The sequence below is a fragment of the Homo sapiens genome, chromosome 4 (assembly GCF_000001405.40).
Source record: "Homo sapiens chromosome 4, GRCh38.p14 Primary Assembly".
Lineage (NCBI taxonomy): Eukaryota > Metazoa > Chordata > Mammalia > Primates > Hominidae > Homo > Homo sapiens.
Genome location: NC_000004.12, coordinates 65974562 through 66000613, shown reverse-complemented (window position 1 = coordinate 66000613; position 26052 = coordinate 65974562). Strand labels below are relative to the sequence as shown.

General features: G+C 35.1%; 3 annotated features.

The window, feature by feature from the left end:
• Nucleotides 972-1536: an enhancer, noted in NCBI's record as "H3K27ac-H3K4me1 hESC enhancer chr4:66864796-66865360 (GRCh37/hg19 assembly coordinates)". NCBI's record gives its function as "activates a minimal SCP1, AML or CMV promoter by ChIP-STARR-seq in naive H9 embryonic stem cells {active_cell/tissue: H9 hESC(naive)}" and the evidence as "EXISTENCE:reporter gene assay evidence [ECO:0000049][PMID:30033119]".
• Nucleotides 1537-2102: an enhancer, noted in NCBI's record as "H3K27ac-H3K4me1 hESC enhancer chr4:66864230-66864795 (GRCh37/hg19 assembly coordinates)". NCBI's record gives its function as "activates a minimal SCP1, AML or CMV promoter by ChIP-STARR-seq in naive and primed H9 embryonic stem cells {active_cell/tissue: H9 hESC(naive and primed)}" and the evidence as "EXISTENCE:reporter gene assay evidence [ECO:0000049][PMID:30033119]".
• Nucleotides 17276-17476: a silencer, noted in NCBI's record as "peak5039 fragment used in MPRA reporter construct". NCBI's record gives its function as "represses an SCP1 promoter by STARR-seq MPRAs in K562 erythroleukemia cells {active_cell/tissue: K562}" and the evidence as "EXISTENCE:reporter gene assay evidence [ECO:0000049][PMID:32103011]".

The window sequence follows — 26052 nt, the reverse complement described above, 5'->3', positions numbered from 1 at the left end:
TTCTTTCAGTGAAGGGTTTTAAGTGACAAATTTGATTCCTTAATAGATATCAGACAATTCTAATATTTAACTTCTTCTTTTGTCATCTTTACTAAGTTATATTGTCCCAGGAATTTGTCTATTTTATTCACATTGTCAAATTTTTGTCATACAGTTTTTCAGAATGTCACGTCTAAATATCTTTTGATCTGTGAAGATTTGTAGTGATATGATATTAATAGCACCCATAATATTAATTTTCTTCTCTTATTGTATCAATCAGTCTTTTTAGTGTTTATCAATTGTGTTAATGTTATTAACGTGTCAAATTTTGGCTCTTGTCTTATGATTTATATTTATTTTATTAATATCTGCATTTATATTTATTATTCATTTAGGTTTTTCATCTTTATACAAATTAAATACAAATAATACAAAATTTCGTATAGTTACAAAGTAAAATGCAAGAATAAAAATGTTATTTAGCAGCAAATTAAAGAACTATGTGATGAGGAGTAAAATAGAAATGGAAGTACTCATTGCTTTACCATTTTATGTGAGATTATCTAGATACATTTTCAGTTGCTAAATTATTCAAAAGAAGATTAAGTATATTCTTAAAAATCATAATTACTGAAAAAACTAAGATTTCAGAAATTTCTGACAAAATCTGAAGAGTTGAAAAGTGGAAATGGTATTTTTATTATTTAAATGTATCAGCTAAATTTCTCATATGGGAGTGCCAAATTTGATAATCAAGAAAGAGTAGTATTAATATATTATTTCCTGTTCTTTTGGTAACCATAATGTATCAGCTAACATTTGAGTCAACTTTGAAGAATGGGGGAAAGTTATGGAGACAATGGAAACAGAGGATTTTTTCCCTCTCACATGATAATGTTTATGGACAGACATTTTTTTGTGTTACAGCACGGCTCCTTTTATTTTCTGCTTCTGCAGGCCCCTGCTCTATGCTGTTCTGTGAGCCTAGGTCTGACACTTTCAAATTAGGATATAAGATAGCTGCTAATATTCAAGAGCTAACTACAAGAAAATGAAACATGCAGAAGATAGGTGTCTCTTTTCTCATTAAAAACTTCTCTCTAAATTAGAACATACGTTTCTGTTTATGTCTCATAAACCAAATTGTAGCTAAATGATGTCTTCTAGGCAAGATAGGTTACAAAGTATTGTTTTAGTTCTTTTGGCAGTAGACATAACTAAGGGTAAGCCACAAGATGGTGAGAACACATATTGGGGTAAGCAGCAAGCGGTCTCCACAAGACACTAAAATAACGTTATGGAGAAAGAGTTAAAAGATATTACCGCTGAGGAGAGGAGCCAAGATGGCCGAATAGGAACAGCTCCGGTCTACAGCTCCCAGCGTGAGCGACGCAGAAGACGGTGATTTCTGCATTTCCATCTGAGGTACCGGGTTCATCTCGCCAGACAGTGGGTGCAGGTCAGTGGGTGCGCGCACCGTGCGTGAGCCGAAGCAGGGCGAGGCATTACCTCACTTGGGAAGTGCAAGGGGTCAGGGAGTTCCCTTTCCAAATCAAAGAAAGGGGTGACGGACGGCATCTGTAAAATCAGGTCACTCCCACCCGAATACTGCACTTTTCCGAAGGGCTTAAAAAACGGCACACCACGAGATTATATCCCACACATGGCTTGGAGGGTCCTACGCCCATGGAGTCTCCCTGATTGCTAGCACAGCAGTCTGAGATCAAAGTGCAAGGCAGCAGCAAGGCTGGGGGAGGGGCGCCCGCCATTGCCCAGGCTTGCTTAGGTAAACAAAGCAGCCGGGAAGCTCCAACTGGGCGGAGCCCACCACAGCTCAAGGAGGCCTGCCTGCCTCTGTAGGCTCCACCTCTGCGGGCAGGGCACAGACAAACAAAAAGACAGCAGTAACCTCTGCAGACTTAAATGTCCCTGTCTGACAGCTTTGAAGAGAGCAGGGGTTCTCCCAGCACGCAGCTGGAGATCTGAGAACGGGCAGACTGCCTCCTCAAGTGGGTCCCTGACCCCTGAGCAGCCTAACTGGGAGGCACCCCCCAGCAGGGGCACACTGACACCTCACACAGCAGGGTATTCCAACAGACCTGCAGCTGAGAGTCCTGTCTGTTAGAAGGAAAACTAACAGAAAGGACATCCACACCAAAAACACATCTGTACATCACCATCATCAAAGACCAAAAGTAGATAAAACCACAAAGATGGGGAAAAAACAGAACAGAAAAACTGGAAACTCTAAAAAGCAGAGCACCTCTCCTCCTCCAAAGGAACGCAGTTCCTCACCAGCAACGGAACAAAGCTGGATGGAGAATTACTTTGACGAGCTGAGAGAAGAAGGCTTCAGATGATCAAATTACTCTGAGCTATGGGAGGACATTCAAACCAAAGACAAAGAAGTTGAAAACTTTGAAAAAAATTTAGAAGAATGTATAACTAGAATAACCAATACAGAGAAGTGCTTAAAGGAGCTGATGGAGCAGAAAACCAAGGCTCGAGAACTACGTGAAGAATGCAGAAGCCTCAGGAGCCGATGTGATCAACTGGAAGAAAGCGTATCAGCGATGGAAGATGAAATGAATGAAATGAAGCGAGAAGGGAAGTTTAGAGAAAAAAGAATAAAAAGAAATGAGCAAAGCCTCCAAGAAATATGGGACTATGTCAAAAGACCACATCTACGTCTGATTGGTGTACCTGAAAGTGACAGGGAGAATGGAACCAAGTTGGAAAACACTCTGCAGGATATTATCCAGGAAAACTTCCCCAATCTAGCAAGGCAGGCCAACGTTCAGATTCAGGAAATACAGAGAACGCCACAAAGATACTCCTCAAGAAGAGCAACTCCAAGACACATAATTGTCAGATTCACCAAAGTTGAAATGAAGGAAAAAATGTTAAGGGCAGCCAGAGAGAAAGGTCGGGTTACCCTCAAAGGGAAGCCTATCAGACTAACAGCGGATCTCTCGGCAGAAACCCTACAAGCCAGAAGAGAGTGGGGGCCAATATTCAACATTCTTAAAGACAAGAATTTTCAACCCAGAATTTCATATCCAGCCAAACTAAGCTTCGTAAGTGAAGGAGAAATAAAATACTTTACAGACAAGCAAATGCTGAGAGATTTTGTCACCACCAGGCCTGCCCTAAAAGAGCTCCTGAAGGAAGCGCTAAACATGGAAAGCAACAACCGGTACCAGCCGCTGCAAAATCATGCCAAAATGTAAAGACCATCAAGACTAGGAAGAAACTGCATCAACTAACGAGCAAAATAGCCAGCTAACATCATAATGACAGGATCAAATTCACACATAACAATATTAACTTTAAATGTAAATGGACTAAATGCTCCAATTAAAAGACACAGACTGGCAAATTGGATAAAGAGTCAAGACCCATCAGTGTGCTGTATTCAGGAAAACCATCTCACGTGCAGAGACACACATAGGCTCAAAATAAAAGGATGGAGGAAGATCTACCAAGCAAATGGAAAACAAAAAAAGGCAGGGGTTGCAACACTAGTCTCTGATAAAACAGACTTTAAACCAACAAAGATGAAAAGAGACAAAGAAGGCCATTGCATAATGGTAAAGGGATCAATTCAACAAGAAGAGCTAACTATCCTAAATATATATGCACCCAATACAGGAGCACCAGGACTCATAAAACAAGTCCTGAGTGACCTACAAAGAGACTTAGACTCCCACACATTAATAATGGGAGACTTTAACACCCCACTGTCAACATTAGACAGATCAACGAGACAGAGAGTCAACAAGGATACCCAGGAATTGAACTCAGCTTGCACCAAGCAGACCTAATAGACATCTACAGAACTCTCCACCCCAAATCAACAGAATATACATTTTTTTCAGCACCACACCACACCTATTCCAAAATTGACCACATAGTTGGAAGTAAAGCTCTTCTCAGCAAATGTAAAAGAACAGAAATTATAACAAACTCTCTCTCAGACCACAGTGCAATCAAACTAGAACTCAGGATTAAGAATCTCACTCAAAACCACTCAACTACATGGAAACTGAACAACCTGCTCCTGAATGACTACTGGGTACATAATGAAATGAAGGCAGCAATAAAGATGTTCTTTGAAACGAACGAGAACAAAGACACAACATACCAGAATACCTGGGACACATTCAAAGTAGTGTGTAGAGGGAAATTTATAGCACTAAATGCCCACAAGAGAAAGCAGGAAAGATCCAAAATTGACACCCTAAAATCACAATTAAAAGAACTAGAAAAGCAAGAGCAAACACATTCAAAAGCTAGCAGAAGGCAAGAAATAACTAAAATCAGAGCAGAACTGAAGGAAATAGAGACACAAAAAACCCTTCAGAAAATTAATGAATCCAGGAGCTGGTTTTTTGAAAGGATCAACAAAATTGATAGACCACTAGCAAGACTAATAAAGAAAAAAAGATGAATCTAATAGACGCAATAAAAAATGATAAAGGGGATATCACCACCAATCCCACAGAAATACAAACTACCATCAGAGAATACTACAAACACCTCTACGCAAATAAACTAGAAAATCTAGAAGAAATGGATAAATTCCTCGACACATACACTCTCCCAAGACTAAACCAGGAAGAATTTCAGTCTCTGAATAGACCAATAACAGGATCTGAAATTGTGGCAATAATCAATAGCTTACCAACCAAAAAGAGTCCAGGACCAGATGGAATCACAGCCAAATTCTACCAGAGGTACAAGGAGGAACTGGTACCATTCCTTCTGAAACTATTCCAATCAATAGAAAAAGAGGGAATCCTCCCTAACTCATTTTATGAGGCCAGCATCATTCTGATACCAAAGCCTGGCAGAGACACAACCAAAAAAGAGAATTTTAGACCAATATCCTTGATGAACATTGATGCAAAAATCCTCAATAAAATACTGGCAAAACGAATCCAGCAGCACATCAAAAAGCTTATCCACCATGATCAAGTGGGTTTCATCCCTGGGATGCAAGGCTGGTTCAATATACGCAAATCAATAAATGTAATCCAGCATATAAACAGAGCCAAAGACAAAAACCACATGATTATCTCAATAGAGGCAGAAAAAGCCTTTGACAAAATTCAACAACCCTTCATGCTAAAAACTCTCAATAAATTAGGTATTGATGGGACGTATTTCAAAATAATAAGAGCTATCTATAACAAACCCACAGCCAATATCATACTGAATGGGAAAAAACTGGAAGCATTCCCTTTGAAAACTGGCACAAGACAGGGATGCCCTCTCTCACCACTCCTATTCAACATAGTGTTGGAAGTTCTGGCCAGGGCAATTAGGCAGGAGAAGGAAATAAAGGGTATTCAATTAGGAAAAGAGGAAGTCAAATTGTCCCTGTTTGCAGATGACATGATTGTATATCTAGAAAACCCAATTGTCTCAGCCCAAAATCTCCTAAAGCTGATAAGCAACTTCAGCAAAGTCTCAGGATACAAAATCAATGTACAAAAATCACAAGCATTCTTATACACCAAAAACAGACAAACAGAGAGCCAAATCATGAGTGAACTCCCATTCACAATTGCTTCAAAGAGAATAAAATACCTAGGAATCCAACTGACAAGGGATGTGAAGGACCTCTTCAAGGAGAACTACAAACCACTGCTCAAGGAAATAAAAGAGGATACAAACAAATGGAAGAACATTCTATGCTCATGGGTAGGAAGAATCAGTATCATGAAAATGGCCATACTGCCCAAGGTAATTTACAGATTCAATGCCATCCCCATCAAGCTACCAATGCCTTTCTTCACAGAATTGGAAAAAACTACTTTAAAGTTCATATGGAACCAAAAAAGAGCCCGCATCACCAAGTCAATCCTAAGCCAAAAGAACAAAGCTGGAGGCATCACACTACCTGACTTCAAACTATACTACAATGCTACAGTAACCAAAACAGCATGGTACTGGTACCAAAACAGAGATATATAGATCAATGGAACAGAACAGAGCCCTCAGAAATAACGCCGCATATCTACAACTATCTGATCTTTGACAAACCTGAGAAAAACAAGCAATGGGGAAAGGATTCCCTATTTAGTAAATGGTGCTGGGCAAACTGGCTAGCCATATGTAGAAAGCTGAAACTGGATCCCTTCCTTACACCTTATACAAAAATCAATTCAAGATGGATTAAAGACTTAAACATTAGACCTAAAACCATAGAAACCCTAGAAGAAAACCTAGGCATTACCATTCAGGACATAGGCATGGGCAAGGACTTCATGTCTAAAACACCAAAAGCAATGGCAACAAAAGACAAAATTGACAAATGGGATCTAATTAAACTAAAGAGCTTCTGCACAGCAAAAGAAACTACCATCAGAGTGAACAGGCAACCTACAAAATGGGAGAAAATTTTTGCAACCTACTCATCTGACAAAGGGCTAATATCCAGAATCTACAATGAACTCAAACAAATTTACAAGAAAAAAACAACCCCATCAAAAAGTGGGCAAAGGACATGAACAGACAGTTCTCAAAAGAAGACATTTATGCAGCCAAAAAACACATGAAAAAATGCTCATCATCACTGGCCATCAGAGAAATGCAAATCAAAACCACAATGAGATACCATCTCACACCAGTTAGAATGGCAATCATTAAAAAGTCAGGAAACAACAGGTGCTGGAGAGGATGTGGAGAAATAGGAACACTTTTACACTGTTGGTGGGACTGTAAACTAGTTCAACCATTGTGGAAGTCAGTGTGGCGATTCCTCAGGGATCTAGAACTTGAAATACCATTTGACCCAGCCATCCCATTACTGGGGATATACCCAAAGGACTATAAATCATGCTGCTATAAAGACACATGAACATGTATGTTTATTGCGGCATTATTCACAATAGCAAAGACTTGGAACCAACCCAAATGTCCAACAATGATGGACTGGATTAAGAAAATGTGGCACATATAGACCATGGAATACTATGCAGCCATAAAAAATGATGAGTTCATGTCCTTTGTAGGGACATGGATGAAATTGGAAAACATCATTGTCAGTAAACTATCACAAGAACAAAAAACCGAACACCGCATATTCTCACTCATAGGTGGGAATTGAACAATGAATTCACATGGACACAGGAAGGGGAATATCACACTCTGGGGACTGTTGTGGAGTGGGGGGAGGTGGGAGGGATAGCATTGGGAGATATACCTAATGCTAGATGACGAGTTAGTGGGTGCAGTGCACCAGCATGGCACATGTATACATATGTAACTAACCTGCACAATGTGCACATGTACCCTAAAACTTAAAGTATAATAAAAAAAAAAAAAAGATATTACCGCTGAGTTACACAAAGTATGGGTTGGACATAACAGTATTTATTTTTAATTGCAAATATAGAAAATGCTATTTACTAGGAAAATATGCAATAGCCATCAAAATTATGTAGAATAGGCTACATAGTAATATAGAACAATATTGATAATATATTGATTAGTAGAATAAAATGATAAATGATCAGTATAGCACTATTATTTTTAAGGTACTATGTATGTTTGCATCCATGTAAGTAAATGAAATTATTATAAGACTTTTAAAAGGAAAGATATCAAGAGTCATCATTGTTTACTTGGGAACTTTGCTAATTTGTCCTAAAATATTTCATGGTCATATATTGTATAAGTTTATAGGCACGAAGCTGATCATTTTGGGGGAAAAAAGCTAATCTGCATGATTCAAATTCAGATAAAAAGATTTTAGGCTTTCAGGTAACCTACGGTATCTTCTAGGCTGGTCATGTTACCAGGCTGTTACAACTTCATGAAATATTTTTGTAGCAAAAATGGTATTAAGTGACTTTAAATTTATGTTTTGAAAAATTTTATAAGTAAAAGCAATCAGTTTTGTTATTATTGCATCATTAGCTCCACTGTCTCTAAGTGGTAATAAATTCAAATATAAAAAATGATTAATTACTTGTGTTAGCTCTACATGAAGTACTGGTTGACTAGATAGACTAGTGAGAAGTACAAAATGACCTGGTGAGATGCCATCTGTATTTCTGTCCAACCTTATAAAAACATTTCTCCTGCTTTCATTATCACAGTGCTCAATAACAATTTAACAGAAGTTTTATCACCAGGACATCATGGGTGTATTTCATACTCCCTTGATATGCTTTGATTGCCTCCTGAAACATTTTAGGGTTAATTGTCTTTATTAAGCATATTTCCATATCTCCTTGGAATCCACAACATAGACTTTTACAAATCTCTAAAAATAATTACCATGTCAGTTTAAAACCAAGTCATATGCCAAAAGGCAAGAAATAGAAAATTTGAAAATGAATATTACTCCTAATTTCAAGCCAACAGCTCAACTGATTAGGTTTATATAGTTGATTATTCAAATGGTAAATGCTATAAGTAAAATTGAGTCTTTTTTTACATATTGTTGATCTCTCTTTCAAAAGATTATTTACATATTAAAGTATAACATCAAGAACCCTCTCAGGTAGCTATCTCTAGCTTTGAAAATAATGTGGTCTACTCTATCTTCTCTCCATTTTTTTTTTTTTTCTGTTTGTTGATTAAAAAAATTCTATATAATTTTTAAATAAATAATTATATAATATATGGGTTATGTTTTTATAAACATGTGATGTTATATTCATATCTAATGAAATAATAGTAATTTATTAATGTCTAATACTGAATCCAGGTATAAATTTTCTAAATTCTTTCAAAAGTTTTTAATTTGTCCAAAGTAGAATCTCAGTATGGTTCACATATTTCATTTGGTTGGTATAATCAAGGCTTATGCAATCTATACTGTCCCCTCACAGTTTTACACTATTTATCTGTGGAGGAAAACAGTGTCTTTACCTCTAAAATTTCTGTTCCATATTTGACTGCTTCCTCATGTTATCAGTCAACTTATTCTTTGCTCATGTTTTTTTCTAAGCTATTTGTTGCATCTGGAGACTGGGTTAACTTTTAGATAAGTTTATATTTTAGGCAAAAAATGCTCCATAGGCCATTCTGTATATGTCTTAGTAGCTTCAACAGAAGGCAATAATGTTTATGTGTTCCAAATATAGAGATATTAACTTCTATTAGTAAGTTTAGGTTTTATCTGCTTGACTCATTAGTTATGAAGTTCTCCCTGAAGCTGTTTCCTATTGGTTTTGAATCAACAGAAGATTTTGTAGTTGAATCCATTTTTAATGATACACTGCATAAAGATTAATTTGCTAATTATGTTATTTCCTCCGTATTTATTACTTGAAATTGTTTTACAAAGTACTCTTCTTCAGCTATTTATTTAAAAAATAAATTTCATCATAAACTTACAGTAAATATGCTTGATATAGTCTTTGTATCAGTTTGTTGTTAGTGCCCTCTAAAAGTCACCAAATGGATTTTTAGTATCATCCTAAACACATGATTTTAGTGTTGCTAATATACTTCAATACATCTTAGTTATTACCTTTACGTTTAATTTCCCTCATCTTTAGCCAGTAATAATTTTTATCCTGTGGCTTTTTAAAAAATTCCAGTAGTTTATCATAACTTACCTTCTGGTTAAGCAGAATATCTTAGTCCTATCTTTATAAATTGCGTGTTCCAGGTGGAGAATTTTATTTATAATTGGTATGTTATTGATAAGGGTGTTCTTAAATATTCTTGTGTTTCAGTTTTTATGCTTATTTATTCCTAACTTCTTAAAGAAAATATTCTACGTAATACTGGATATCAAATTTGTTCAAACTTGCTCAGTTTGGCTTGGCAAATGTCAACTTTTTAAATTTTTCAAGTCCATTTGTGAAAATGAATTTTTTAATTGTAAGATATAGAATTCTCTGTATGATTTTTAACAAAGCTAATTTATTATGGTGCTTAAATCATTACATAATCATTTCATGATGTTATCAATTACTAAGAGATGTGTGTTAAAATATCCCCATGAAACTGTAGAGTAGTGATTCTGCCAAATTTTACTTTATATACTTTGGGGTTACTTTGTAAATAGTAGACAAGTTTAGAATTCTTAATCTTCTTGTTGTATTCTCTCATTATTATACAGAGGATATTTTTATAAAATTACAAATAATACAAATGTGGATAGAATGGTAAGTAGATGATAAATATACTCCAGATAGATAGAATGTTATGGTATAAATCCATATAAATAAGCATTCTTTGGGTAGAATTTTTCTATTTTACTGGATTAATTTTGCCCATCTTTTACCTTCAAAGTTTCTTATATTTGTTTCTTATAACTTATATTTTAGTTGTGTCGTAAAGAGCTTATATTCATTATTTTTAATTTATCTCATCTGCAAATCAAGATATTTAAATTAGTAATATTAGTTCACTTTTATTTTAATTATGATTGCCAGTATAAAATATATTTATTGTTATGATATAAATTATATTTATATCTCTCTGGATTGTATTTGTCATCTATTTACCTATCTCTCCATATTTGTATTATGTAAGTATATAAAATAAAATTATATAAAGTATGTAAAGTAAAATTTGGCAGAATTACTAACTCTACAGTTTCACAGTGAATATTTTAATACATATTATACTTTCTCTTTTTCTATTTAACTTGTGTTCTTCAATTATATTTTCTTTTCTCCTTAAATTTTTTGTGAGGTTGGAGTAATTAGAGGTTTAGATTTTTATTCTTTTGTATCTATTTGTCTGATAGTTACATATTTCATTGCTATTTTTAAATTATGTGCATATTGAACAAAATTTCAAGATAAGCCAGAAATAACCAAACATTGTAATGATATGTTTAAAACATTTAGATAAAATTAAATGAATGAAAGAATGAATCAATCACTGAAGAAATGAATGAAAAATAATGGATGTGAAACAGAATCAGCTTATGGGTGGTCAGTTTGGAAATTCTTTTTATTGGGAAAGAAGGGCAATAAGTCTTGTGTTATTTTACTCTTTGTGACAATTGAAATACTTTTTCTTTCATATCTTGGATATTCATTTATTCAGGAATATTGAAAAACAAGAAAGAAGACTTGTGATAGCTTCATTAGTAAACATGTCATTTAATTGACCTACAACATATGAAAAAAATAAAAAAGTATATCTTTTAAATATACTGTTTCCAAATCAGATCTTCTCTTATCAGATAAAAATAGATGATTATGTAAAAAGGAAAATAAGGGAAGATTCTGCATAAACTTAAGTTACGGCTCAGTTTTAAATTTTAGAACATAGCATCAAGCTATTTTAAGTATACATCTTTAAACACTGGGCTCATTTCCATTTATACTTTGCTTGCCTATGTTCTATTTGTAATACATTATAAAGCTTAAAAGAAAAAATACTTTATTTATTTAAAAACTTTGTTAAGAATAAAGTAATTTCTAATTAAACTATAATGAGCTGACCACATCCATGGTCTTCTAACTGGCAGTCACCACAACTGAATTTGATAAGGCCCAAGAGACAAGTCCTGTGACTTTTTTCACACAATCAATCAGTTCACACACACTTACAGACATTGAAGAATTTATCATTTCGGGTGAGGTAGAACGAAGGAACTTATCTTTCATAATGCAAGAAGTTTTCATAGTTGAAGGACAATCATATTATGTCATCATTTATTTAAAATAGAAACAAAATTATAGATAACATTACTTTCACTTAATTTTAATTTAAAATGTTTGACCCATAGTTTTATGACTGTTTCTGTGGGGCAAAATGATATAGCTGGAAGATAAAATTGTACATTAAAATTAAAATTTTCCTATGAGGAAATATAGGAAAAAATAATGTTTATAACTCCAACTTACTGACTGCTTAGCATGTGCCAAGTACTCTGATAAGCACTTTACATGCAGGGCACAAAGCTTCTATGAATAGTAAATAGGATAAATTGAATTTAAAACCAAACTTTTATTGATGCTAAAAGCAATGTATGACACAATATCAGTAGTATAAGCACACTTAAATATGTTCTCTCTCATTTAAATATTATCATTATTGTTTTATTTTATTTTATTTTATTTTGTTGAGATGGAGTCTTGTTCTGTCACCCAGGCTGGAGTGCAGTGGCATGATCTCAGGTCACTGCAAGCTCTGCCTCCCAGGTTCATGCCATTCTCCTGCCTCAGCCTCCCGAGTAGCTGGGACTACAGGCACCCGCCACCACACCTGGCTAATTTTTGTATTTTTAGTAGAGACAGGGTTTCACCGTGTTAGCCAGGATGGTCTTGACCTCCTGACCTCATGATCCATCCGCCCAGGTCTTCCAAAGTGCTTGGATTACAGGCGTGAGCCACCGCACACCTGCCTAAATATTATATTTTTTAACTTATGTAAGTTTACATTATTGTTTCTATTCATCTCTTCATTTTGTCTAGTTCATTGACTAGCTTAGGTCCTAATTTTCAGGCACACTTCCATGTCTATATTCAGCCATATCAACCTGACTCACTCGTGATTTCTTTTTCTTTAATCTACCCTGGTCATGTTCTTGTTTCATGATATCCTCACTTCTCTGTAACTACTTGACTAAAATTTTAGATTTATTTTTGACAAGTGTTATTCAATCAAGCTGTGTCTACCACAACTAGAATTTCTAGCTATTGTTTAAGGGCATTACCTTTAGAGGTTGGGTTTCTCTTGCTCTGAGTATTTGTCAGGTCCAAATTCTTGGTCTGTAAATATTATTAATGAAATGTGTACTTGCATTCAAAGCCTTGTATAGATTATTTCTCATATACATTTTCATATTTATCCCTTAGTTACCATATGACCACTTTGATCCATGGTTTATACAATATGTAGACCTTTGCTCTTTTTGCTTAAACATTTTCTTTTATCTAGTTAGGATTAATGGATTTATGTTGGGAGTGGTTATGATATTTTAAAGGGAGAGGTTTTCTATAAGCAAGGGTAGAATTTTAAGAGTGTAGGAGACAAGTTTATTATTAAAGCAATGGAATGTCTACTGAAGCTTTTAAACATACGAAAGCAATACAAAGTCATTTTCCTTTTATTTTTGATTTCTTCAAAAAAAAAATGGGATACATGTGCAGAATGTGCAGGTTTTTTACATAGGTATATGTGTTCCATGGTGGTTTCCTGCACCTATTGACCTGTCCTCTAAGTTCCCTCTCCTCCCCCCACCCACCCCACAACATTCCCTGGTGTGTGTTGTGTCCATGTCTGTGGCCATGTGTTCTCAATGTTCAACTCCCATTTATAAGTAAGAACATGCGGTGTTTGGTTTTCTGTTCCTGTGCTAGTTTGCTGAGGATGATGGTTTCCAGGTTCATCCACATCCCTGCAAAGGACATGATCTCATTCCTTTTTATGGCTGCATAGTATCCCCTGGTGTTTATGTACCACATTTTCTTTATCCAGTCTATCATTGAGGGGCATCTAGGTTTGTTCTATGTATTTGCTGTTGCAAATAGTTCTGCAATAAACATATAAGTGCATGTGTCTTTATAGTAGAAAAATTTATATTCCTTTGGGTATATACTCAGTAATGGGATTGCTGGGTTATATGGTATTTCTGGTTCTAGATCCTTGAGGTATCACCACACTGTCTTCCACAATGGTTGAACTAATTTACACTCCCACCAACAGTGTAAAAGCAATCCTATTTCTCCACAGCCTCGCCAGCATCTATTGTTTCCTGACTTTTTAATAATCGCCATTTTCACTGGTGTGAGATCGTATCTCATTGTGGTTTTGATTTGCATTTCTCTGATGATCAGTGATGTTGATCTTTTTTTCATGCTTCTTGGCCACGTAAATGTCTTCTTCTGGGAAGTATCTGTTCATATCCTTTGCCTGCTTTTTGATTTTTTTTTCTTGTAATATGAATAAGTTCACTGTAAATTCTGGATATTACACCATGTTCAACATACGCAAATCAATAAATGTAATCCATCACATAAACAAACCAAAGACAAAAACCACGCAATTATCTCAATAGATGCAGAAATAGCCTTTGATATAAAATTCAACATATATTCATGTTAAAAACTCTCAATATACTAGTTATTGATGGAACATATCTCAAAATAATAAGAGCTATGTAAGACAAACACAAAGCCAATATCATATTGAATGAAAACCGGTACAAGAAAAGGATGCCCTCTCTCACCACCTGTATTCAACATAGTATTGGAAGTTCTGGTGAGGGCAGTCAGGGAAGAAAATGAAATAAAGCGTATTCAAATAAGAAGAGAGGAAGTCGTCTCTGCAGATGACATGATTTTATATTTAGAAAACCCCATGATATCAGCCCCAAAACTTCTTGAACTGATAAGCAACTTCAGCAGAGTCTCAGGAAACAAAATCAATGTGCAAAAATCACAAGCATTCCTTATGCCAACAATAGACAAGTAGAGAGCCAAATCATGAATGAACTCCCATTCACAATTGCTACAAAGAGAATAAAATACCTAAGAATACAGCTAAAAGGGATGTGAAAGACCTTTTCAAGGAGAGCTACAAACCACTGCTCAAGGAAATAAGAAAGGACACAAGCATATGGAAACACATTCTATCCTCATGGATAGGGAGAATCAATGTCATGAAAATGGCCATACTGCCCAAAGTAATTTATAGATTCAGTGCTATTTCCATCAAATTACCATTAACATTCTCCACAAAATTAGAAAAAACTATTTTTAATTTCATATGGGATCAAAGAAGACCCCATATAGCCAAGACAATCCTAAGCAAAAAGAACAAATCTGGAGGCATCACGCTACCTGACTTCAAACTATACTACAAGGCTATAGTAACCTAAACAGCATGGTACTGGTACTAAAACAGACATATAGACCAAAGGAGCAGAACGGAGAGCTCAGAAATAACACCACACATCTATAACCATCTGATCATCGACAAGCCTGACAAAAATGAACAATGGGGAGAATATCTCCTATTCAGTAAATGGTGCTGGGAAAACTGGCTAGCCTTATGCGGAAAACTCAAACTGGACCCCTTGCTTACACCTTATACAAAAAACTATCTCAAAATAGATTAAAGACTTATATGTAAAACCCAAAACCATAAAAACTCTATAAGAAAACTTAGGCAATACCATTCAGGACATAGGCATAGGCAAAGACTTTATGACAGAAACACCAAAAGCAATTTCAACAAAAGCCAAAATTGACAAATGGGATCTAATTAAACTAAATAATTTTGCACAGCAAAAGAAACTATCATCAGAATGAACAGGTGACCTACATAATCCAAGAGAAGTTTTGCAATCTGCCCATCTCACAAAGTCATTTTCTAAAAACTATCTTCACAATGGGTTGATCAAAAAGTAGTATCAGAACAAGAAGATAACCTTGAGAGCTACTGCAATAAGCTGAATGCATAAAGTGTGAGAGTCCTGAGCCAAATTTGTGGCACCAAGAATTGAAAGTCAGAAATAATTATGAATGACAAAAAAGAGAATACTCAAGTTTTTATATTTTATTTGCTATGGAAGATGAAGAAAAGGTAATGATTTGGACTATTTAAAGTTTTCAAGTCTGAATGACTGACTCATATGTAGTACATTTGAAATATCAGAATAGGTATGAGTTTGGAAGTACATGATGAATTTTATTGTGGATGTGCTGCACTTGAGGGTACTAGAAAAATGTTCAGCTGGAAATGTCTTATACGTGATTGAAAATGAAGTAAAAGTTTGATGAAAAGTCAAGTTTAAAGATAGAACTTTAGGGACTCATTTTTGTGGATGTAATAGTCAATATTGTAAGATTATACGGAAGTCCTAGAAAGCAAAGAGTGGAGTCAAAAACATAAACCTCGGGAAGGCACACACCTAAAGAGTGAAAGCAACAAAGGAAAGAGTGAAAGCAAGAAAGGAAAGAGTGAAGGCAATATTTTCCACCAAGATCTGTTCTTCACTCTGTCTCTTACTCTGTGTAGAGACTTAAGGAACATTATTTCGAATTTCATACAATACACTGAATGTGTGAATCTGTGGAGCTTTGTCATACATGTTTAAGACACTTCAGTTGAAATAAAATGAAGAGGCAAACAGAAAGTTAAAAACAGAAATAAATGCAGATCTGTAGGAAAAATAATTCCAAGAGTGAAACCCTACATTGCAAATTCTGGCAGAGAGGATGTTAAGAAAATCAACATGAAAATATCATTGAATTTGGTGATGAGAATGTGATTAGTGACCTTTCAGACAACCGTGTGAGTATATTCAAATGCAGCAAAGTAGCAGAAAAATAGCATTTCTAGAATTTATATCTGTACCAGCAAAATTTATCTCTTCTATATATGCTCATTCATGTTTTATATGGCATATCAGTATCATTAACCTTTTGTCCTCATTTAATTAGAGAAACTGAGGCATGGAGTCAAGATACAGTTTACAAATATTAGACTAAAGGACAGAATTTAAAATTTGGCATACTATTCCTTGGATATCAAACTAAATGTCCTTCATTTATTGCCACTGTGACAAGCACTTCTTCTTTATGATGTGAACAGCTCATGCATGTAGTTAAATGGTACATAAACAACAATCAATTCAAATTAAATCATTCCATTTTTAGATGTAAAACCACCAAGCCATCTCATATCACATAATTGCATAATTCGCTGTAATTACATAATGCTTATATGGTACTAAAGAAATAGATGGGCTGACATTAAAGCAAAATGACTTAAACCTATCTTAATATGAAATGCAATGATCACACTACTAATAATAAGATTAGTCCTAAATTTTGGAATTGTATCCCTTAGGAAATATATGAATTTTCCTTTACACAACTTTAAAAACATTCGGAGGAAACCCCAGGAGAAAATGCATTAAGAAAATGTCTATTTATTTGTCACATATTTTTAGTACTCCCTGATTAAAACTTCTTTATATCCTGTCTGCTGAGATCACAAATATATTTGGCCATAAATAGTAGCAATCTCTTTCATAATTAGCCTCATCTTTGGTGATTTATTCAGTAATAAAATAAGTCAGATCCTGGGACTTTGATCACTTCTTAGGGAGTGAAATCTGGCATCACCAAAAGCTTGAGACTAAATTTAAAAAGACAATATTCCTATGATTCTGATGCTGCAGATATTACAGCTAGAGTCAGAAGGGATTTTCTAATTTAGTTATAAAACTAAGACATCACAGCAATGATTATAGCAATTTTTGCTGGCCCACAATGTATTTAAAATAGACTCTTTATGATAAAGTTCTGTAACTATTGCTTTTTCAATACTGAACATAAGGGACTTATGTAAATAAAAACTGCCCACAAGACACATGTCTGGAAACAATAAGACAGCCAACTTCTTTTGGAAAGTAAAAGATTGGCCAAGTGTTGGTTTGTTCACTGAGGAAAGTATGTTTGGGGTCAGACAGAGTGCAATCTTCTAATCCGTTGGGGAGCAACACGCCTACTGAGTGAGAAACAAGCAGAAATGCTAGATTATGTTCTACAGAACCTTTCAGAAGTTTCCCACAACCCTTAACTACCACTTCTACCAAAAGATTTTCATATATTTTTGTTATAGAAGATACAATTTTTTTTTTTTTGAGACGGAGTCTCGCTCTTCAGCACAGTCCGGCTGGAGTGCAGTGGCGCGATCTCCGCTCACTGCAACCTCTGCCTTTTGGTGTAAAGCAATTCTCCAGCCTCAGCCTCCCGAGTAGCTGGGATTCCAGGCACCCAGCACTACGCCCTCCTAATTTTTGTATTTTTGGTAGAGACGAGGTTTCACCATGTTGGCCAGGCTGATCTCAAACTTGTGACCTTGTGATCCGCCTGCCTCGGCCTCCCAAAGTGCTTGAATTACATGCATGAGCCACCGCGCCTGGCCCTACAAATATTTTTATTATAATATTGCATTATATATATTATATATATATATATATATATATATATATACTGAAAAAGTTACTTTACCTAAATTTTTTACAGTATGCCTCAAAAATTAGTCATTTCTCCACTCACTATATTTTTATCAAAAATAAATTACCTGTGACCCTCAAAAATTTTGATTCCTGGAAAATTGGCTGAATTCAGTGTCTACCCCCAAAACTCAGTTTTTTTTTCCATTTTTTTTTTCTAATTTTTGTTATGGAAAATGTTGCAGACATAACAAAGTAGAGAAACTAGTATAGTGAACTCTGATGTATCAGTTTCACTTTTGTATGGTCTGTTAAGTGTACCCCCCGAATACTCGGATTTTTGCCTAAGTAAGTTTCAGACAGCACATTATTGCATCCATAAATATTTGTATATATACCACTACATAATAACTACTTAAAAGCATAAACACAACATTAAAAACAGTATTTTAAAATTTAAAAATGCCGCTTCCTGTGTCCATGTGTTCTCATTGTTCAATTCCCACCTATAAGTGACAATATGCAGTGTTTGGTTTTTTGTCCTTGCGATAGTTTGCTGAGAATGATGGTTTCCAGCTTCATCCATGTCCCTACAAAGGACATGAACTCATCATTTTTTATGGCTGCATAGTATTCCATGGTGTATATGTGTACCCTAAAACTTAAAGTATAATAATAATAATAATAATAAAGATTCTGATATTGGAGAAAAATAAAAATAAATAAATAAATAAATAAAATTTAAAAATGCCTAGTTGGTTTTCATGGGACTTTGATCGTGTTTTTCTTTAAGCATTTATTTGTACAAATCAGAAACAAAGTAAGACCCATGCATTACAATTTTTTTCCATTTACTAGGTTTTTTAACCTATAGTTTTTATTTCCATCTCTTTTTTTTCTTCTTACAATTATTTTCCTTTATTTGATTTCCCTGTAGCATTTTCTATAGTCCAGATTTTACTAATTTTACTCACTGACTTTTTTATTTACATTTTCTTTGGTCTTCTCAATTTCTCTAAGTTGGTAGTTAAATCTAGAAATTGAATCTGATAAGAGGTCAATTAATGGGAAGAAGGTATGATAAGAGTTATTGGATATTTTCAATATGTGCATTAAGTGTAGTTTTACTTTATTTGAACATGCATTCATCTAGTTAGGTATGAGATTAATTTAAAACAAGAGCTTTTTCCACTAGAGAGGAAAAATATGTAACATTAGCTTTCAAATGATTTTGTCCATAAATTTGCCCATGTTTTTGCCTGTAATTTCCAAGAAAAAAAAAAAAACTAATTTCCAAATGTATGGAAAAAATATCAACCCAGCTTTCATCCAGGAATTTTTTTTAACTGCTTTTCATTTTTCCTCTTTCTATCTGGCAGTCACTTCTAAAAACCTGAAAGTTATAAGTCTAATAGCTGTTGAAGGAAATCAGAATCACGTGAAAGTATGAAAAGCAATGGGTTAGGCTTGAGAACTGGAACAAGGCAAGAATGCCCACTCTCACCACTCCGGTTCAACGTAATCCAGTAAATCCCAGCCCGAGCAATCAGGCAAGGGAAAGAAGCAAAAGGCATCCAAATAGGAAAAGAAGAAGTCAAACTATCTCTCTTCACTGACGATATGATTCTATACTTAGAAAACCCTAAAGACTTTGACAAAAGGCTACTAGAACTGACAAACAACTTTAGCGAAGTTTAAAAATACAAAATCAATGTATAAAAATCCATAGCATTTCTATACACCAATAACATCAAAGCTGAGAGTAAAATCAAGAACACAATTCCGTTTACAATAGGCACACACACAAAAAGGAAATATCTAGCAATACAGCTAACCAAAGAGGTGAAAGATCTCTACAAGAAAAACTACAAAACACTGCTGAAAGAAATTAGAGATGACACAAATAAACAAAAAAAATCCATGTTCATGTATTGAAATTATTAATATCACTAAAATGGCCATACTACCCAATGCAATTTACAGATTCAACACTATTCCTATCAAACTACCAATATCATTCTTCAGATACTTAGAAAAAAGCTATTCTAAAATTCATATGGAACCGAAAAAGAGCTTGAATAGCCAAAGCAATCTTAAGCAAAAAGAACAAAGCCAGAGGCATCACACTACCCAAATTCAAAACTGTATTATAGCACTTTGGGAGGCCGAGGCGGGCGGATCACGAGGTCAGGAGATCGAGACCATCCCGGCTAAAACGGTGAAACCCCGTCTCTACTAAAAATACAAAAAATTAGCCGGGCGTAGTGGCGGGCGCCTGTAGTCCCAGCTACTTGGGAGGCTGAGGCAGGAGAATGGCGTGAACCCGGGAGGCGGAGCTTGCAGTGAGCCGAGATCCCGCCACTGCACTCCAGCCTGGGCGACAGAGCGAGACTCCATCTCAAAAAAAAAAAAAAAAAAAAAAAAAAACTGTATTATAAGGGTATAGTAGCCAAAACAACATGGTACTAGTACAAAAACAGACACACAGATCAATGGAACAGAACAGAAAATGCAGAAATACAACTGCACACCTATAACCATCTGGTTTTCCACAAGGCCAACAAAAACAAGCAAGGGGAAAAAACAGTAAATGGTGTTGGAATAACTGGCTAGCCTTATGCAGAAAAATGAAACTAGATCCCTACCTTTCACCATATACAAAAACTAAATCAAGATAGATTAAGAATTTAAATGTAAGACCTCAAACTATAAAAGTTCTACAAGAAAACCTAGGAAATACCATTCTCAACATCAACCTTGGCAAATAATTTATGGCCAAGTTACAAAAAGCAATTTCAACAAAAACAAAAATTAAAAAATATAACCTAATTAAACTAAACAAAAGCAAAAGAAACCAGCAAAAGAGTAAACTGCCTACAGAATGGGAAAAAGTATTTACAAACTATGTGTCTGACAAAGATGTCATATCCAGAATCTACAAGGAACTTAAACAAATCAACAAACAGAAAACAACCCCATTAAAAAGTGGGCAAAATAAATGAACAGACACTTCTCAAAAACAGGTGTACGTGTGGCCATCAAACATATGAAAAATTGCTTGTCATCGCTAATCATCAGATAAATGCATATCAAAACTACAACGATACATCATCTCACACCAGTAGAATGGCTATTATTAAAAAGACAAAAAACAGCGGCTGAGGCTGCAGAGAAAAGGGACCACTTACACAATGCTGGTAGGAATGTTTTAATAAATTAGTTCAGCCATTATGGAAAGCAGTTTAGAGATTTCTCAAAGACCTTAAAACACAGCTACCATTCTACCCAGTAATCTCATTACTGGTTATATACTCTAAGAAATATAGATCATTATATCAAAAGAACACTTGCTTGAATGTTCACTGCCATGCTATTCACAATATGAAAGACATGGAATCAACCTAGTTGCCCATCAGTGGCAGACTGGATAGAGAAAATGTGGTGCATGTGATGCATATATACCGTGGAATATTATGCAGCCATAAGATATGAAATCATGTCCTTTGCAGCAACTGAGATGGAACTGCAGGACATTAGGCTAAGTGAATTAACTCAAGAACAGAAAACCAAATACCACATGTACTCACTTATAAGTGGGACCTAAACATTGAGCACACATGGACATGGACATAGAAACAATAGACACTGTGGACTTACTTACTAGATGGGGGAAGAAGGAAGGGGGATCATGAGTTGAAAAACTACCTGTTAGGTACTGTGCTCACTACCTGGGTCCAATATACTCATGTAGTGACTCTACACATATACCACCTGTATCTAAAATAAAAGCTGAAATTAAAAAGAAAAAAAAACTCAGTAAACTAACAACCAAAAAGGTCATGGGTTATGATATTTTAAGGAATGTGGCTTTGTAACCTTTAGCTGACTGACATTTTGTACTAAATTTTATTATATAATATTTCTTCTCTACTGAAACCTCCCTATGTATGTAATGATAGATATTCCAAACCCACAAGATAATTCACTCACCGATTAAAAGGCAGGTCAATCGGCTCAATGACTTAACAGCAATTCTAGAGTTATGTTTAGAGCAATTTATGACACTGTTGGCACTCTTCCCAATATAGCTCAATAACTACAGACACCAAAACAAATTTCTGTTTTTATTGCAATTATTGACCAACAAATAATTCTGGAATTGGCAATTCTATTTTATAACTGTGTATTTTCCACTTCAAAACTTGCATTAGTATCATTCATAATTGCTAAGTTGTTTCTAGTCCCTAAATATTTGCTAATGTATAACTAAAATAAATCCCTTTGTCATGGGAACTCTGTTAATACATGCTTTTCCAAAAATAAAAAGTTCAATGTAACCTCAGGCTGTGCATCTTAACTGGAGGAAGACAATGATTTGCCAGTGAGTGTCCAAAGCCAAAGAATAAAAATGATGTGTCTTCTTGGAACACTGATTGTACCCCGAAATTCAGTTAAAATATCTGAACTTTTATCCTCTTAAAAAACATCCCCGCTGGGTGCGATGTCTCAAGCCTGTAATCCCAGCACTTTGGGAGGCCGAGGCAGGTGGATCACCTGAGGTCAGGAGTTCAAGACAAGCCTGACCAAAATGGTGAAACCCTGTCTCTACTAAACACAAACAAATAGCCGTGTGTGGTGGCACATGCCTGTAATCCCAGCTACTCGGGAGGCTGTGGCAGGAGAATTGCTTGAACCTGGGAGTCAGAGGTTGCAGTGAGCCACGATTGCACCATTGCACTCTAGCCTAGGCAATGAGAGCAAAACTCCGTCAAACACACACACACACATATATATCTCACATATATATATATTGCATATATATATCTCGCATATATATTGCATATATATATCTCGCATATATATATTGTATATATATATCTCGCATATATATATTGTATATATATATCTTGCATATGTGTATATATGTATATATATAACAAGAATGGGCAGGGTGAAAACCACATACTGTGTCAGATAGTATTATGTTTTATGTGGATATAAAATAATTTTTTAAAAATTTACACAACTGAAGTGACAGAACATTTCAATACTTTTTTTTTCTATTTGGAAATCTGTGTTAGGCAGAGTTCTCTATAGGGGTAGAACTAATAGGATAGATGTATACATAAAGGGGAGTTTATTTATTATTATTTTTTTATTTTTTGAGATGGAGTTTTGCTCTGTAGCCCAAGCTGGAGTGAAGTGGCGTAATCTTGGCTCACTGCAACCTCTGCCTCCCATGTTCAAGCAATTCTCTTGCCTGAGCATCCCAAATAGCTGGGACTACAGGTGTGTGCCACCATGCCCAGCTAATTTTTGTAATTTTAGTGGAGATAGGATTGCATCATATTGGTAAGGCTGGTCTCGAACTCCTGACCTCAGGTAATCCATTTGCCTTGGCCTCCCAAAGTGCTGGGATTACAAGCACAAGCCACTGCACTCAGCCTAAAGGGGAGTTTGTAAAGGAGTATTGACTCATGCAATCACAAGGTGAGGTCCCACAATGGGCCATCTGCAAGTAGAGGAGAAAGGAAGACAGTCCGAGTGCCAAAGCTGAATAACTTGGAGTCTGATGTTCGAGGGCAAGAAACATCCAGCACAGGAGAAAGACATAGACTAGAAGACTAAACTGGTCTAGTCTTTCCATGCTTTTCTGCCTGCTTTTATTCTAGCCAGGCTAGCAGCTGATTAGATTGTGCCCACCCAGATTAAGGGTGGGTCTGCCTTTCCAAGTCCACTGACTCAAATGTTAATCTCTGTTTGCAACACCCTCACAGACACACCCAGGAACAATACTTTGCATCGTTCGACACAATCAAGTTGACACTCAATATTAAGCATCACAAAATCTGATAAAATTACCATTGAAAAATATTAGAAGTGAGGAGTAAAATGGCAAGTCACACACTAAGTTTATCCTAATTTCACCAGTGTCCTTAACTGCACATCCTCTGTCAAGACAATCACAGCATTAAAATATACACTTTATCCATTAGTTATTTTTCCTGATCCTCTCCCTCCTCCCACTCTCCACCCTCTGATAGGCCCCTGTGTGTTGTTCCCCCGTATGTGTTCATGTGTTCTCATCATTTAACTCCCATTTATAAGTGAGAGCATGCGGTATTTGGTGTTATGTTCCTGAGTTAGTTTGCTAAGGACAATGGCCTCCAGCTCCATCCATGTCCCTGAAAAAGACATGATCTCATTCCTTTTAATGGCTGCATAGTATTCCATTTTGTAGATATACCACATTTTCTTTGTCCAGTGTATCATTGATGTGCATTTAGGTTGAATCTATGTCTTTGCTATTGAGAATAGTGCTGCAATGAACATTCATGTGCATGTGTCTTTAGAACAGAATGATATATATTCCTTTGATTCCTTTAGGTATATACCCAGTAAAGGGATTACTGGATTGAATAGTATTTCTGACTTTAGGAGGGTCAGGAAAAAACTAGTGGATACTAGGCTAAATACCTGGGTGAGGAAATAATTAATACAACCAACTCCCATGACACGTTTACCTATGTAACAAAACTGCATATCCTGTGCATGTACTCCACAACTTAATAGTTAAAAAAATCTATTTCAAATTAATAAAGATATTTTGGCTATGTTGAAAAAATCTGCACTTTAGTATGGCCAATAGTAGGCTTAACCAATTGACTGAGTAGACTATATTCAACCTGTTCCTTTGAGTTTAATGAGATCAAGTAACATAGCCATTTTATTGGTCTTGCATGTATTTAGGATAATGGTATCTCTGAATACAAGTAAACCTCACAATATTGAATATGAAGATAACAAATAAGAATACTTTAATCCAGGTTAGGCAGGTTTATCTGTCAATAGGATGCAAGGTATTTTCTGGTAATGCATCTTCATATAACCACATTATAAAAACAGAAAGAAATTTGTTCATTTTTTGAGCTGAAAAATTTTTTAATCTGTAGTTAAATACATCCCATTAGTAGTTAATTTTCTTCTTCGAAAAAAAATTTAGGAACTATTTCCTTGAGAGACCAAGCTGTGACTGAGAGGTTTTTTGCCTTACAGCAAGAAAATATACTTTTTGAGATTTCTATCAAAAGTAGTATGAAAGTATGCCCAAATGCCAACTCTTCAGCAACACTCTGTGCATCTCTTCTTAGAAATTCTCTTGATACAGATCAAAAAGTAGTGGGAGAAATACTTGTCATTTGTGTCTACTTATTTGGTGAGTTTGTATCTCTGAAATATGATAGCAAGACTGAGAAATTTCCCAATTGTTGGCCTTGATAGAGTATCAATTCTTTTTAATTGAACCAAACAGTCTAAAATCTAGAAACATAATAGAATTTAATATCAATCTAATAAACAGCAAGAAAATTACTCATGTCTAAGATTGAGTAATTTAAAATAGGTTAGGTTTTGCTATGTCATGTTATGTTTTCACATTTGAGTATGTTGTGTTACAGTAACAGAGTTAATAGAATAAAAAGTTTGCATTATTATTAATTTTTAAAAAGCCCCTTTAATTTATTTCTTCAGAATCCTAAAAATATGGATTTATCTACGTTACCATTAGTGACACTGTCATGGAAATGTCTGGGAAGCCAATGTCTATGATGTTTCATGTTTTTACCTAAGAGGGAATGTTGCCTAAGGCAAAATCACAGTTCTCTGACATTAGTACCTAGTATCTCTTTTCTTCAAAATTTTAACCATTCTTTGGGCTCTGGAAGGCTGATGCTGAAAGTAAGGAAGAGTGGATAATTCTAGAATTCATATGCTCTTTATTTGATTAGCGATGAAGTAAAACAGGAATAGTATTAATTACAGAATATATCTATTTATATTATGGCTTGGAATTATTTTTTTCTCAAAACAGTTGAATTATCTCTATTGTCACAAGTTCTTAAATTATTAAATATAAATTATATAATGTACATTAGTAGCAATCATAAGGTCTGTAAGTCATTACAGAAATTTCTGTTGTTGTGAATGAGTATCTTTGGAAAATAGAAGAGAATTGAAAGCATATTAGTTAAATATAAAGGAAAAAATATATCCAACTAAATGATAACATTCAGCAGGATGGAAAAATTAAACTGATGGCATCAGAATGTATTCACATTGAAACTGTTGCCATATTTTGCATATTTTCGTTCTCTATCTCTCTCTTACTCTCT